The 16,839-nt window shown below is 42.4% G+C and overlaps 1 protein-coding gene across 1 annotated transcript in view, besides 2 other annotated features; it reads right to left on the bottom strand.

Annotated features, from left to right (window-relative positions):
• TEAD1 (TEA domain transcription factor 1) overlaps window positions 1–16,839 on the bottom strand; it is a 270,317-nt gene that overhangs the window by 67,864 nt on the left and 185,614 nt on the right. Inside the window, 2 exon segments of the mRNA NM_021961.6 lie at window positions 11,974–12,036; window positions 14,560–14,624. Coding sequence (NP_068780.2) covers window positions 11,974–12,036; window positions 14,560–14,624 — 128 coding nt within the window.
• Window positions 145–645: an enhancer, noted in NCBI's record as "H3K27ac hESC enhancer chr11:12897776-12898276 (GRCh37/hg19 assembly coordinates)". NCBI's record gives its function as "activates a minimal SCP1, AML or CMV promoter by ChIP-STARR-seq in naive H9 embryonic stem cells {active_cell/tissue: H9 hESC(naive)}" and the evidence as "EXISTENCE:reporter gene assay evidence [ECO:0000049][PMID:30033119]".
• Window positions 11,738–12,032: a silencer, noted in NCBI's record as "tiled region #11610; K562 Repressive non-DNase unmatched - State 7:EnhWF". NCBI's record gives its function as "represses a minimal TATA promoter and a strong SV40 promoter by Sharpr-MPRA in K562 cells {active_cell/tissue: K562}" and the evidence as "EXISTENCE:reporter gene assay evidence [ECO:0000049][PMID:27701403]".

Here is a 16,839-nt window from a genome sequence, read left to right as displayed (position 1 = left end):
AGCCCATGAACAGAAACCATGGCCCTAGTCACACCAACTCCATTCCCCATCAACATCACCCTGACATCAATACGAATCCATTGGTTTCTCTTAGACCAGTCACTTTGGACTCCAGCCCCCAAGCCACTCAACCTCTACCAAGGGGGTTATAAATGCTCTCAAGGCAGATTTCTGAAACTGAGGTAATGGCTCAGGTATGACCACAGGTGCCTTCCTCAGCACAGAACAAGCCTTACAACTTCTCTGGGGCCCAGGCTAGGGGGATTGGAAAATGGCAGCACAGACGTCTTGCCTGCCTGACTGACACATCTGAGCAATAGCTACAAAAGAACTTGAGGGCTTGGCTCCATTCCAGAAGAACATCGTGGATCCTCTCACAGACCCGAAGAGTTCCACGTATTTGAAATTCTGCAGACAGAGGCACTTCTGCTTGCCCAAATACAGAATCTGTTTGTGCACACTTGGGTGGGGTGACTCATGAATTCTAAGTCCAGGTCCAAATGAGTTCCCTGCATCTCCACATCCCGCTTTATTGAGTTGCTTGAAATTTGCTAGGCTTATTAAAAATCATTTGAAATCTTCAAACAAGTTTGATATTCTTTTTTGAAACGGAAATCAGTCAGTGTGGAAAAGGAGAAAAGCACCTATCTTTGCTGTTTATGTCACACAGCTTCAGAACATGATCTTTTTCTTCTGTTAAAGTAAGGTTTGACTCTCTCATTACCCAGCATTCTACCAGGTACCTAAATGAAAACAGGAGTTCAAGAGCAGGAGAGCAAATCAATTGCTTTTATGACACCAACTTGCTCCAAGACTATAAAAGGTGTACCCACTGGGGTGTCCGGAGACCTGGCTTCAAACCTGTCCCTGCCTGACATTAATGAGCTGCATTATGTGGATCAAGTCATTTAATGACTTCGAAGTTTCTTTATTTATAAAATTAAAAGTTGCACATTACTGCCTAATGTCCTTCTGGGTTTAAAGGTATTTGTAGCTATGAGGGTAAATTCCATTATAAACAGATACTTTTCAATGCATATAGTCAAGGAAACTACTAGTGAGAAGACAGCAGGATGTTAAAATTTGGGCAGCTTTGGTCTGCTGTCCTAATAGAAAGCTAAGTGTAGAAAGGAAATTTCATCTCAAGTAGAGGTTCTTTCTGCACTTGACCTACCTATTTGAGAATAGGCAATTTTCTGCAAATGGACTAAAATGTCTATACCAGTGATTTCCTACCTTTTGTGGTCGAGCTACTCTGACTACTCATTTAATTTTTATAACATCTCCCCTTTATCTACAATATATATTGAAAATTAAAAGGATTAAAATGTTTTTGTTTAAAATCTAATGTGACCCTGGAAATAATAAGCACCACCAGGGATATCTTGAAATCAGAACCAAGGGTCTGCCTACAGACCCACTTATCCTGAAACGGGAATTTGAAAGAATGCCAAGCTAAGAGATTTCAATGGAAGGACCTCTAAATTGTCATTTGCAGCCCAGAGATACCTGCCTGGCTTTGAAAAAATAACTCTAAGTGTCAGACCTGAGTGAACTGCTCCTCTGTGTCACTCTGGTTTAATATCCCAGACTTTAAAGCATTCGACTCTATCCTCACTACTCATCCTCACTCTAAAGGGGAGGAGGCTAATCTATCCAAACAAGCGAAGCTAGGTAAATTCAAACACATGCTACATTTGTACACCACACTAATTTTAAGATGTCTTCACACCAACATTTCTGAGATGTGGATGAGATTTACAAAGGTGAGCACATTGTTTGATGCTGAAAAACTGTTAGGTTAATACGGAATTATGCTCTGTGAAGTCTTAGGTTACAGGAAATATTCTGAGTGTGTATGTGTGCGTGCGTGTGCATATGAGCAAGAATAAGAAAATTGCATCCTAGAAAAATGTTTGGACAAGTTCACACTGACTACTTATTGCTGATTTTCCGTCCCTCTATCCCTAAGATTACAAAGAATGAGGACATAAAAAGCCAAATGTTTTGGGGAGTGGGGAAAGAAAAGGGAAATCTCCCTTTTCCAACTGAACCCCAACCCAAGCCCATGACCTGCAATGCAGAAAACACTCATGGAGCAGGAACTATGGGTGGTCTATGGACTTTTGATGGGAAAGAGGATGGGTTCTAAGAACAAACGGTCCAACTGACCTGAGACTCGGGATGCCTGTCTCATCATCTACCCTACTTTTATCATTAACCAATTTCCAACACACCACACTCAATGGTCTCGCTGCCTCTGCTACATGGTCCAGCAGGCTGTGTCATGCATAAACTCCTCAGCCTGAAGCCTTACAAATTGTTATTGTTCTAAGTAAAAACAGGCTTTCATATTTCATGAAGGAGAGCAAGGCTACTGCTGCTATAGCTCTCTGTTCTGCTGATTGCCTCCTTTTTATGGTTGAAATGGACACAATGTTTGGAAAATATCTACATGTAATATACATGACAGGAGGACAGCAATATCACAAATGCACATGGCTGGAGTGGTGTACTCTTAAAACTCAAGGACATCTCACGGATCAGTCTGGATATCAGAGGAGTCTTGTTCCCTTCTCTTCCTTCTGCTTCTCAGCTTTTGATTATTCTGCAAAATCAATTATCTCATATTCTATAGGTATTACCATGAACAAACTTTAAAGATAACATAAAAAGGTTACATGCTTGCATATACAATATATGATAGCTGCCATATATGGAATTTTAATGAACAGCATAATCAATATATTCCAAACAGTTTATTCATGGGCCATGATTTCAGAATTTAAAGATAGGATTCCAATGTAATTTATTCATATAGAAGTCCATCAAATACGTCAGAAAAAATAGTAAAGTCAAAAAAACGACCATGGATTCAAAAACTCTTGATAGTTATTAAATGGTTTTTCTTCAAATATGCTTTAACCAGCAATATAGTGCAAGGGAGGAAAGACAGCAATTTGCTTGCACAATCACTTTTTCAGAAAAAGACAAAACACAAAATACTTTCCTAAGAAGTAATCTTGCAGATGTTCTTTCTAATCTTGCACTATGTGGCTCCACATGACCTCTGCAATTATTAGCCATACCCCTTGAGCAGATAAACATCACAGAACTATATTATGGTTTTGGAAAAAGGATGGAGGGCACTTGATTTTTTTTCTAGCTATGATCTCTAATTTGCTTATCATTAGAAAAGGCAGGAGTAAATACAAAAGGAGACTACTTCAGTCAGGTAACAGCTAACGCAGAGGACAGAAGGCACATTCATGCTTCTCCTGACTCGCTGCCTAATAAGCAGCAATTAATTCATTTTATTGTATTTCCAAATGCCAAAGACTCCATTCACATCCAAGGAAAAATTTTCAAGGCTTTTACCATTGTTCATTTTTAAATATACTCAGCTATATTTGGTATTTTATAATTGTCAACATCGTTTCCTTTAACTCTGATGTGGGGCTTCACATCATAAAGGATTGTAGATGAGGACTACAGACGAGCAAACTCATAGGTGTGCCTCATGACTCTCTCCCAGGAAGCCTGGGATTTAGGACAGCTTCCTGCCGGATCCAGGTGTCTGGGAGAAGGCACCCTTCTGACCTCAGCCCCCTTTTCTCTAAGAGGTGACAGCAAGGGGCCAGAGGAACCTAAACTGGCTCCAGGCTCAAGTTAAGCTCCAGAGTGAGTCCTTCTTCTATTTCTTTCAAACATAAAGACACAATGAAGAGGGCTCAGTGGAGGGAGACAATGCAAAGCATTCCAAGTCAGGAAAATGAACCTCATCCTGGACCAGTACTCTTTGGGAAGGCAGAAGAACATCCTGCAAAGAGCTTGGCTTGTGGCACCAGATATCCCTGGATTAACTTCAGACTTGTGACTCTAAGCAAGCCAGTTAGCCATTCCACGCCTCTGTGTCCTAATTTATAAATCAAAGATAAAAACACTTTTGTTCAGGACTGCTTCAAGTACTTAGTATGGTGCTTGCAGCCTTGGCCCTGGGTGAGCTTGCAGTCTACGGGGGCCAGGTAATGGACTGGCTTTCCAAGCTGGATTCTGCTCGGGACCTGAAATACTCAGGAGCCCTTGTCCTCACTAGATAACCTTTTGGATAGATGTCATTCTAGGGCATTATCTAAGTTGGAGGCCAATTAACAATGGGATTTCGCTATGAAGAGATAAAAATGTAGAATGATGAGACTGTTTCTGTTGCCCTTATAAAGAAAATCCAGACCTGGCTCAGTTCACACAGAATTATCTTTATCTACATATTCAGTGCCCTGGCTCCCATCATTAATTTCTCCATCACCACACTGTTGGCAAGTGGTTCCAACTGAAGCCTGAGAAATTGTCTCCAATCTTAGTTTTCGTTCAGTTAAATTAAAAACAAGGTAATAAAAATATCTTTGAGGAGAAAGCGTATATGTCATAAATGCAAAAGAACTCCCCCTGAAGATTGGGAAATGCCAGGAAAGATTATATCATTTCCCAAATCCCGTGACAAGGCCAAGTGTCTTGGTGTGGACACAGACAAAGGAGGTTGTTGCTCAGGCTTTCCTTGCCTCCTGCACTGCTAACAGCCAAGTCCTGAAGGAGCAGAGTGGCTCAGGGGGCTTCACGGAGCAACACAGAGTGAAGTGAAGTACGTCTACCTTCCCTGTGGACAGGCCCATTCCTGGATGGAATCAGTGATGATACAAACATGATTCAGCAGTGTGGACTTTAGCAATGCCCCAGTGAAGTTCTTGAACTCAAAAGAATTAAATCAACAATTTGAACTTTAAGCTCTCTGCCTATTGGAAGGAACAGCAGTTTGGAAAGAATGGCCTGTTCAGAAATCAAATCATAAAGGCCACCAGGGCGAGAACAAGAAAATGGCCCCGGGGGAGCACATGTAGCTCATAAATTAGTCACCGGCGACTGGACATAATCAGAGGGGCTCAGGTCTCTTTCTGCTCTACTGGGATGATGCAATGTCAGCAAGTACAGGTTTTTCTTCAATACACATCCAGAGCCTGACGTGAATACATCTACTGCCTAAGATGTATTCCTGCCGAGCGGAGGGCACGGCGAAGACTTCCTTTCCTCTTAGTTTTGTCCCGAGTCATACACTCACCTAAACACACTCGAGAAGTGAACCAGAGGTGGCTTGGCCCATCTTCATGGGAAGATGGAGATGGCCCACAGTGTGGTGGTGCTTCCCAGACCTTGGCTGTGGCTACCGTGAGCTTCTGAAAACAGCAAGAAAGGACTGCCTTTTTGCTGCTAATGGGGAAAGAAGGACTCTGAGCAGGGTCTGAACAACTTCTTAGGGCAACTGAACATACAGGCAAAGAGACTCCTGCATGGAACTCTACAAAGAAACTCTGAGTAGGAAAAAGACTGCTTAACACATGGAGAATGCTTCTGCATTCTTTCTACATGCTGGGATAATAAATCCCTGGAGCTTAAAAAAACAGTTAATGACTTTTTCATGAATTAATGGTAAGTGAAACAATTCGAAGTAGAGAATAATTTCTAAGGCTGTGAGCTAATCCTCAGACATGCTGCTGCTTCTCACTACTCCACTGGAGACGCCAATAGGGGCTAAACTAAGGGAAAGGGTGAGATGGAAGACAACAGGTAAAGCTGGTGTTGGTGACACTGCTGTCGCTGCAGCTGGTGACACAAGGTCCAAGGGAGACCTCTAACTCAGCATCCTCAGGATTTTTAAATGGATATTCCATAGGCCTAGAAGCCTCTTTCACACTGCAACTGCATGGATTCATCTTCTACTTTAGAAGTAGACTCAGGCCCAGCTACAGGCTGTGGGTCATCTATAAAACCTACCCCCTTGAGAGCAGTGGGTCAAAAGGGTTTTGTCTGAGTAGGAGACAAACACATAGCACTCCCATCACTAAGAAACAACTCCTTCAAAGCTAAGCTCTCTTCTAGGCCTGCAGTTTGTACTCTAGCTTCTGTCCTAGACATTTTTTCTTTTTCTTTTTTTTGGAGACAGAGTCTCGCTCTGTTGCCCAGGCTGGGGTACAGCAGTACAATCTCGGCTCACTGCAACCTCCACCTCCCAAGTTCAAGCAACCCTCCTGCCCCAGCCTCCCAAGTAGCTATAACTGCCGGTGCACACTGCCATACCTGGCTAATTTTTTGTATTTTAGTAGAGACGGGGTTTCACCGTGTTGCCCAGGCTGGTCTCTAACTCCTGAGCTCAGGCAATCTGCCCATCTCGGCCTCCCGAAGTGCTAGGATTACAGGCGTGAGCCACCGTGCCCAGCCTTGTCCTAGATATTTTGAAAATGCCCCAACCCCGGGGGGGGCGGGGGAGAAAATCCCCACAACTCTGAATGTATAAATTTAATTTCCAAAATCACTGTGCTCTGGCCACAAATGCCTTTTTTTTTTTCTTTTTTCCATCTTACCGAGCTCTTGAATCTCAGCTTCAGTCTACTGACGCTTTGTCTCTACTCTCCCAGCTTCTCTGCTCCTGGTTCACTGTCTCCTCGCATTATTCCCTTTCTAGTTCAACCATCCCCTATATGTCCTGAACCTCGTATCTCTCCTCTGCAGTCAGGGTCTGTATCCAAGGTCACCAAATTGTTGGCCGAGTCTATCTTAAGCTGCTAAAAATTCCAGAGGAAAAGTCTCATGTTGGTGCCAATGGCTATTGCACAAATTCATGGTAGATAATTGGGCAAAAATCGGCTGGGCGCAGTGGCTCATGTCTGTAATCCCAGCACTTTGGGAGGCTGAGGCAGGCGCATCACTTGAGGTCAGGAGTTCGAGACCAGCCTGGCCAACATGGTGAAACCCCGTCTCTATTAAAAATACAAAAATTAGCTGAGTGTCGTGATGAGCGCCTGTAATCCCAGCTACTTGGGAGGCTGAGGCAGGAGAATCGCTTGAACCCGGGAGGCGGAGGTTGCAATGAGCCGAGATGGCGCCACTGCACTCCCGCCCGGGCGACAAAGCAAGACTCTGTCTCAAAAAAAAAAGAAAAAGAAAAAGACAATGGGCAAAAATCTAGGAGCAAAATGAGAAGAGAGAGCTTTCACTGGATTTGATTTTCTAAGGGAAGTAAGTGGCAAGAAAATACATTGTGGGTGGTAGGAAAGAAAGGAAGATTAATTTTGGTTGAAGACGGAGGGTGGGTAGAGGAAAAAGTACAGAATAATGTTTGCCACTTGATTTTTCATTAAAAAAAACTTATATAATGAAAATGATCAATTCCAGATAGTATAAACATGAGTGTTTAATATATTTTCTGTACTGTTTAAATTTTGCAACAAAAACTTCATAATTTTGATGCACACTCCTAGTCAATTACCATTACTTTAAGAGAACCCAATTTTAATAAGTTGATTTTTAAATGCTGCTATTGAAAATCTTTCTGAAAAGTTCTGGCACACAACACTTTTCAGACTTCATAAGGACAGAACTTATAATTTATTCTTTAAACACAATGAGTAGGAAAGACTACAGAGCAGGCAGAGAGCACCAAAGCAGGGAGCCAGCCAAGGATGAGTGCTAAGTGCCACGGAGCAGCCCCAGGGGGTGTGGGTTGGCCCCTGGTCCCAGCCTGTGACTCTCTTCCCCACTCTTAAAGCAGCCCAGGAATTAGCCTCCCTGACTCCAGCTTGGCCTCCCTCTTATTAGCTATCCTGCAAAACCTGGCTGGCGAGGTCTTTCCAGAGGGTAAATTTGAATGAACCCCATGTATGCCCCTAGGCCCACAGATGAATCCCTTCTCCTCAGTGGGATAATCGAGGGCCCTTCCCTTAGGCTCCTCCAGTCTTACCTCCCACCGCATGTCCCCAATTACATGATGCTCTTCATGGTCCCCCAGATAGTCCCAACTTTATGGAAATTCTCTGCCTTCAACTATGTTTAGTTCTAATGACACTTCTCCATGAAGCTTTAATTCCCTCACTCCCAGAATGAATCATTCTTTTCACTTGGGCAGCCTCTGCACTATCCTGTTTAATTTCTACTGCAGAGCCCCCTAGCTGTGGATATCTACTGGAAAAATAACAGAAAAGTTCAATGTTCCTCAAGAACAGAAACTCTGGATTCAATTCTATGTGCCCAACGTCTACAAAAGGACCTAGAACACACTTAGGTTCTCAATGAAAACCACTGGACTGAATTCAGTAATCATTCCTATGCTTTTCAAGTTCAAATCTACGTAGAAATCTTAGACTTTCACTAGAACAATTTTTTTCTTTACTAAAATTTAAGTCTACACAATTTGGGGGTGATCTAGTCCACAAACAAGCACATTGAGAACAACTGCCAATTAGTAGAAGCATAAAGCTGACCTTTAGAATTTATTCTAACGGATTTTCAGGAGAGTAACTTTTGTAGCTAGGATGACTCATCTATCAATGTGACATCAAATGACCACTCTCTCCTGGAGTCTGTTTTCTTCCTAGGAACATGGCAGAACTTCAAAACTACAGAATTTAAAAACATGGGCTTTAAATGGGACACAGGAGCTCTCTGTAAAGGCTGGAAGGGACAGCATAAGAGGTAGACACCTCCTTTTCCTTCTGCCTAAAACAGGGGGCTTTTCAAACCTGATTCAATGGAATAGCCTAAGAGGCCATTACTAAGGATTTGAGGGAGTAAGCTTCAATTCAAAACATGAGTTTTGCTACTTTAAAAAGGCTGGAAAACACCAGCCCAAAGAACTCTGCCACACCCTTCCCTGGAAAGTAAAGAGAAGCTTATAAGCAAGAAGACTCACCAGGAAGACACATCTGGCAGTGGCCTCCATTGCGGGTAAGCCACTTTTCCAACTCCACAGAGGGACAGACAAATGCAAGTCTGGTTTCGGTCTTCACATGAGGACCATAGACCTTTGTCTACCCCTTCGACGTCTGAGTTTGTGGAGAAGTGGTAACCAACCTGGCTAGGGCAGTGTCTGCAAGGATAGTTACTGGGATGGTCAGCCACCAGCCACCTGCTCCAGGAGGCCTTCCTACATCTTCCCAGGCAAAGCACAGTGTCTCTTTTAAGCTTGGATACTTCCTGCCACTCCCCTCTGCTCCCCACCCACCCAGAAGCTATCCTTGTTGTCTTTTGGGATGACCTCAATTATCTGTAGCGAGTTTATCTCACTAGCTAGTGTGGGAGGCCAAGAAGACCATGGCTATCAGCCTGACCCCATGATGACCTCGGTAAAGATGCTTGTCCCTGCCTCCTCACAAATGTGCTATTAGATTCCAGAGCTGAACAAGGGGGTATGGATGGAGCTGGGACATCAACAGAGTTGAGCCCATATCCTGGTAATGGCTGGTTAGGAAGGTTAAGTATACTGCCTTTGAGATAAAATGCTCATGGAGGGAGTGAAAGAAAGCAGCACCAACTCCTGCAAGCAGGTGACAGACAGCCTCACTCTCTGCGACTGTCCTAATGCCCTCAGAGTGGTGCCAAGCAGCTCTGTCTCCAGGACCATGTCATTCCCCCAGTTACTGATGACCCTCACAGCACCAACCCAAATTAAGTCCACGTTTTGACCAAGGGCTCAAAGTTAAAATGTGGATGCCAAGTGAAGGGCTGGTAGCAAAGGCTGAATGCCCAGCCCCAAAGACTGTGAGGGGTGACAGTTTAGGTACAGTGTGCTGGTGTGAAGCCCTCTGCTTGAAAACATTCTCCCACCTTCACTAGATAAAATTTTATCTAAAACAATGATTCGTTTAGGGTGCAAAAAGATCTGAGTTCAAATCCTGGCTTCACCACTTACTAGGAAGGCTTTGTGACTAGTCAATTATACTCTCTCAGCCCCAGTTTCCTCAGTATCATGCCCCAAAAGCAGAATACTGTAAGTCACTTCATAGTGAGCTTAAATGAGGGAGCACGCATTAGGCTGCCTTTCCTCTTTCAATTGCCAAACTTAACAGTATACTCTCCACGAAGCTCATCCCCGGGATGCACCCCACATTTCATTTTGGCTGCTCCCGCTATTACCCAAAGTGCTCCTCTAGTTTACATTCCCATTTACATGGCCAGCTCCCTGAACAGGATATTGGCTGTTAACTGCCCATCACAGTGAGCAAGCACCATGCCTGGAACACTCAGTTGGTATTAGCAGATGGAAAAACAAAGGACTCCATTTTTCCAAGAACAATATGGTAGGAAAGAACGGAAGAAACTACAAGAAGACGGAGGTGGTTCTTGGAGCTTAAATGCTGAGCCAGTTGCTATCCTACTGCTTCTGTTTCTGTCTCTTCCTTGTGCCTGCCCCAAAAGAGAGTGGCCCAGGGCTGAAAGTCAGGGGAATGTTTCTTTTTTATTATTGTTAATTTTTTTTTAGAAACAAACATAAATACCGCTGTGTATTTTTACATATGTACATGTATAAAGCAACAGAAAAATTGTTTCTATGGAAGAAAACTCTAAAATTCACCAAGTGAGAAAAAGAGTGCTTCCTATATCACATGGGAATCCCTTCTGAACAGAAGAGCTTTATTCCTCACTTATAGGGCTTTCAGTCTAAGGCTGTGTGCCCTGGTGAGTCCACAGGAACCACACAGACAGTGCAGAAATAGAGCAATTCATATCATCACAGATGGAAACAACATTGTTATCTGTAAACTTCTTTGTACATCATTAATTCATTAGCTCAGAGAAACTAGAAACAGAGTCAGAACTTGAGCAAAAACTGGGGTAGTTACATCCATATAGAGAGTATTGCACCTTTGGTTAAAAAGCAGGATCTACAAAGTTATCTTAGTCTTCCAACTGCTCAGCCAGTGCAGCTAAAAGCCAGCCACCATCAGCCACACGTGCGAGCGAGCCAGCATGCTGCCCACTGCAGAGGGCACACCAAATGCTCCTTCCTAATCACTTGTCCTATTCCACAGCCAGCCTTGTTTGCATAAAAAAAAGTCGAAGGACTTTGGGAAGAGTCCCAGTGCTCACCACTCAAGTGTTGTGAGACTACACTGTTTTTTAGTTCAGAACAAAACCACAAATTTAATTACTGTATAGAAAAATATCAGAACAGAACCGAAAAAGGCACATGGGAAAGCCATCAATATGTGCCAAAATCAATTTTTATTATAAACGAAAGCTCCTCCTTGCAAACTATAATCTCTTTGCATTTCTAAAATAGGGCATTACAGAAAAATAAAAGTCAGGTATGTTTTATTATAAATTTTATAAAGGGAAAAAGCAGAAAGAAGTTGTATATGAAAAATTATCAATGCCCCCATTTTTCCTATAAAATATATTTTGAGACTGAAAAATGAGGTACAAGTAAAAAAAAATTTAAGCAAACTCAAGTACAAATGAAACTGCAAATGGGTTTGATCAAGAGTTTTCCCATCTCTAAGATCTATCTTTTTTTTTTAAAGGCCACTGCTCAGATTTCTCTTTTAATAAGAGCGCCATTCACTTAAAAAACAGTAGTAAGCAATGTGGAAGAAATCTGGCTGAAAATACTCTGAGGGAAGAGACATGCATGAAAAAGACGTATTTTTTATAAGTCTTCTTAAAAATACATCAAAAGCATGAGTTAAAATAATTTCTAAATTTTTTAAAAAGGTAATTTCATGACCACTTTGGAAATGATTCTTTCTAAATAATTTCTACTCAATTTTGCATCTCTGGACTTTTCTTTTTTTAAGCTTTCCTAGCCCATGGCTGCTTGGTGGACATCTGAAGGTTAAAAAAAAAAAATCATGTTTCTGTGCTGAAAAGTTATCAAGACCAGCTCTCTGCTGCATTTGCATTGTTATTAGGAACACACACATACACACGCACACACACACGCAAACACACACACGCGCTCACACACATTGAGTTTAATGTGAGGCTAGTACAGAAACAGAGAGATTAAACACAAAGAAATGTAAACAGCTCTCACATGCAAGGAAACTAGGTTACGAGAATCCCAGCACCAGGCATTCACCAGTCACCATGGAAAACAGGAAGTGAGATGCATAGCAACCACAAGCCAAAAAGCAGAAAAGCGCATACCTTTAGCTTGGAATGAAAATCACGAGATTTCCTTCTGGCAAGAACCTGAATGTGACTAGACACCTGCAGGGTAGGGGAAGGGAGGAAAACAAAGGAAAAGCCTGTAACCATGGAGATGAAAAGCCCCCTACAAGTGGGCAAGCCAGACGTACCTTAATGGCGGCTTGAATTTCTCGAACTTTCTTTCTTGCTAAGACCTGTATATGACTAGACACCTACATTGTTCGGGTTTATGAGGGGAAACAAAACAAAACAAAACAAAACAAAACAAAACAAAACAAAAAAGGAAATCAAATATAAAATCGCTACTCTTTGGGAGGGTTTTGGGGTGGGGTTGGGGGGTGGTTATTTGCATCTCAACAAAGCTCTGCAGTTAGGAATACACAGTCCCAGCCAGACACAAGCCCCCAGCGCTGCTCTAAGCTTTTCATACTGGGTCATCACTGCAGTGACTTGATTCAGGATGAAAGTTAAGACTCATCTTAGTCTTCCCACCCAAGAGAAATCATGGGCACTGGGAAAAACTAATTTTGGGAGGGATGAGAGGGGCTGTTTTCATTCTAAAATTAAAAAGGTGGGAGTAAAGGTAAATGAAAATATTTATAGCTTCTCAGTATCAGGAGGGAAAATCCCTTTTTCTCAATTTAGAAGAGACTATCCATAAATTAGCACATTCTGCAGAATCAAAAAGCTGAAGCTGTTGGTTGTATTCTGATCTCATTAAGAGCTCTGGATTCTGTAGCAAACGTTAAAATAATACTGACATGTAAATTAGATCTCAAAGAGAAATGGAAAGACCCAGTTAGCAGAGCTATTTTTTTTTTTTTTTGCCCTTATAAAAATCTTTAATCCTTCCACTCTTTTGGGTATTGACTGGGCGCCAAGTGGATTTGCATATTATTACAAAGCGAAATGTGTGAATACAGCCAGCCAGCCATCCTGTTAAAAATCTGGGTTGAAAACCACATGGATTTGCTGAACAACAAATTCACATTGGAGAGGTATCACCAACTGCTGCCTAAAAACATCCCCAGGATGCCGGGGCGTGGAAATGTAGCCGAGCCCAGCTTCTGAAACACAATGATTCCACTGAAATCTGCATCTCTTTCAGTGGGACTTGGTTAAATTTAGAAGAGTCCCTCAGTGAAGGGGTCACCGGGCAAATGACCAGAGCTCACAGACCAGCAGACAGCCCAGGTCCCGCACTGTCAGAATGTAGATGATTAGATCCACTGGTTTCCGAAATGTAGAACTTTCCATTTAAAAGTTCAGCGACTCAGACTGTGTGGTGATTACCCCATTTCCAACTCTCCAGCGGCTCTAAAACAGGATTTATAATAAACGGTCCTTTTATCTTTAACTTTGTCTTTGAGCTTCAATTATTCAATTATTTTTTTTTCCAATTTGCTTTGGTACTTTTCTTAAGTACAGAGAAGCAGAAACTCCCCCATCCTCTTCAGCCCTCCATCTGGCTCCTGCTGTTACTTGTTTTCACCCGAATTTTGTTCTTCTGTGATTCTCTGACTTGACGAGGGCCACTAGCATCCCCCAAACAGACAATGCGCTGCCTCTGCGTGCTGGCAGGAGGCCACCTCTCTTTGTGCTGACTCAGCAGCCAGGCTCCCAGGCTGTGGCACAAGTAGCATTCCTGGGAAAAGCCTCTCCCCGTTATAAACACTCATGAAAACAATTCCTCACTGGGAAGAGAACTGAAATCTGCTGCTCAATCTTAATGAGACCACGGTTTAGTTAGCCTTTTGGTCTGATTACAGTTTTTAAGGTTCATGCTGTATCATTCAGCATAAATCGACATTAAAAAATAATTCTTTTCTGTGAACAACTCACCCATGAGGTTTTTAGGGTTTTTTTTTTCCTCCTTTCTTTTTTTTGTTTTTAGTTAAACACTAATTTCTCATTCGTTCCAGTTCTAAACTGGCTCATGTCAGAGATTTGGGCTGTTTTACATCTGAAAGAACGAGGAAAGGCAGAGCTCTGCCAAAGGGCAGAGAATTCCTGATACTGCTCTGCACAGAGGTATTGAAGTTGTAACTTCATTTCAGTCACAGCAGCTACTGACAAAAAGCCATCGCTTAAAAAGCAACAGTTCCCTGGACGCACATCATTTAGCATTACATTCAGGCCAATACTCAAGGCTGCTGGCGTTACTTTTTCATTGAAATTATGACTAATATATAATCGCTCCAGGATTTTACAATGCACAAAACCTCAAAATTTCATGACCTGCAAGTGCATTTGCACTTGCAGTTTTTGCAGTGTTCACAGGTGCACATTTTGGGAAAGAAATGTCAGCTTTGAAATACAGTACAGGAGCGGTTCATACACCGTCCTTAGCAGTGACATTTTCCCATGTGAGTATAAAAGGAACTTGTAAGACCACATAATAAAGGGTCACTGAAATGATGAACAGTGAAAACTGAGCCAATTTAAAATACCTCCAACACTGACGTCCTTACAGGGAACTCAAATTGGGGGCTCCTAGGAGCCAAAGCATAGCCAGCCACTGCAGCCAAAATGCCTTTTTGGGCCATTCGCTGACATGCACAATTTCCAGGTGGGTTATTTTACCTGTTTTCTGGTCCTCGTCTTGCCTGTCCTGAGTTTGATGTATCTGGCTATCAATTCATTCCTACCTGAAAGAAAGAAGAATTTACCATGAGGTGGGTTACCAAAACACCAAACCAACAAAGCCCTTGAAAGCAAAAAACAAAATTCAGAATCAAGAATTTTAAAATTACAACTATGTGTTTACTAATACTAGAAAAATAAAACAGCACAATTGTCTGCAAAAATGTTTACTAGGAAAAATTAAGATGAAAGGCATTTAAATTTGAACTTAGACCAGCATCTAAGAATAGAAATTTATCCTTTTTTTTAAAAAAAAAAAAAAAAAAAAAAGACAGAGTTTCACTCTTGTTGCCCAGGCTGGAGTGCAATGGCACGATCTTGGCTCATGGCAACCTCTGCCTCCCAGGTTCAAGTGATTCTCCTGCCTCAGCATCCCAAGTAGCTGGGATTACAGGCGTGCGCCATCACGCCCAGCTAATTTTGTATTTTTAGTAGAGACAGGGTTTCTCCATGTTGGTCAGGCTGGTCTCGAACCCCCGACCTCAGGTGATCCACCCGCCTTGGCCTCCTTAAGTGCTGGGATTACAGGCATGAGCCACCGCACCCAGCTGAAATTTATCTTTTTAAGATGTGCCTTTTTGTCTGTTTGTATGCTGTGGGTGGTGGGTCACTCATATAAGCAACAAATACAGACAAGGATTAGTCTGGGACTAAACAAACCCAGTTCTCTTCTAGTCTTTGGTTTTTCATATTCACATTCATATTCACTTTCCTTCTTATTCAAGTTTCTACTCATAGTTTACTCCAGCTAAAATCACAGCCACAAGAGAACGAACGAGCTGCTGTGGCCACGGAAGCCGGACAATGACAAGAAGCTAACAGTACGAAGGCAGACACCCCCTAAAGGTAGTCAGTGAAAAAAATGACTCAATCTCCTCCAAGTTATATAACCTTCTGGGGAAAGAACAATGCCCAAAAGTATAAACAAAAACCTTCTAGCCCTATCCCACCAGGAAACTGAGAAGTCTCAGACAACCTGACTTCAGAAAACCATGATAGGAAAAAATATCCCCAGAAGCTAAGCAGAGAATGTATTACCAAAATACCACGTGAAATAAAAACCACTCATACAAGACATGGGTTCTTCTAAGCAGGTCCTATTTACGACTTCAACTTGCTCTAATACCAGGAACTGAAATTATTTCTACATACTTTCTACAGTAAATGGAAAACCACCATTTCATAGCACTACTGTTGGCTGGCTTTGTATCAGCTCAGCTCTATCCTTGTGAAAAATTCCTTTGGTCAAGAACAAGTCTGAAGCTTGCTGCTGTGGCATTCACTCATGTGCTTCACCAGCCTGAGACCATTGTGCTAGATTCTATTTCTCCTTCAAGGCCTCACTTGGATGTCACTCCCTTGGGGAAGTCTTCTCTAATTGCCCAACTAGGTTTGGTTGCCTTGTTCTACACCCCCATGGTGGCAAAAACTGTACTTCTTCCTAGGATGTACCCAAACTGTAACTGTATTTATAACTTTATAGTTAGTTGTAAAATTTGTGTTTGTTGTCTTACTTCCTCCCAGATATACTGCATACTTGAAGAGGGGAAGAACTCTGTCTTCTTCCTCAATGTCCCCCTAGCACCTAGCACACTGCTGGGCACAGAGAAAAGAATGAATGAGGAAATAACACAGCCTCTGCTGAAAGGAAGTGACCATATCCCCCAGATCTTCCCTAGCAGAGTAAAGAACTGGAAACACTGATGAAGACGAACATCAAAATGTCCTTAGGGAAATCTTGTCTGAGAATTGCGAAGACTCTCTCATCACTGCCTAGAATGTCCTAGAGTCATGGCTCTGTCCACCACCTGCCAGTGCTGGGACTGTGCAGGACATGGTCATCACTGGAAGGCAAAGGAATCATGAAATCTGGGGGCTAGAAAGTACCCCTAGGTCATCCATTCGCATTCCTGAAAGTCCTCATAAGCCTTAGTCAGCACTTCTAAAATTGAGGAAGTAGCCCATTCTATCTTAGAACATATTTAAGAATAAGAAGACCCTCCTTTTGGGGGTCTGCTTTAACTTTCATCCCCAGATCCTTCCTGTTCCTCTTAACAAGAAGTCCAGTCCCTTATTTATTTAACTGCCTTTCAGATATTAACAGCAGCTCTGGGGTCCTCTTGGAGTTGTACACAAGCTAAACCTCCTGTGTTACTTTGTTATCTGACAAGCTTTGGAACACTCCCACACACCATCCTGTGACCATCCTTTGTCTGTCTT

The sequence above is a fragment of the Homo sapiens genome, chromosome 11 (genome assembly GCF_000001405.40).
Source record: "Homo sapiens chromosome 11, GRCh38.p14 Primary Assembly".
Taxonomy (NCBI): Eukaryota; Metazoa; Chordata; class Mammalia; order Primates; family Hominidae; genus Homo; species Homo sapiens.
Note: the sequence above shows the minus strand (reverse complement) of the source record. Positions and strands in the feature narration are given on the sequence as shown.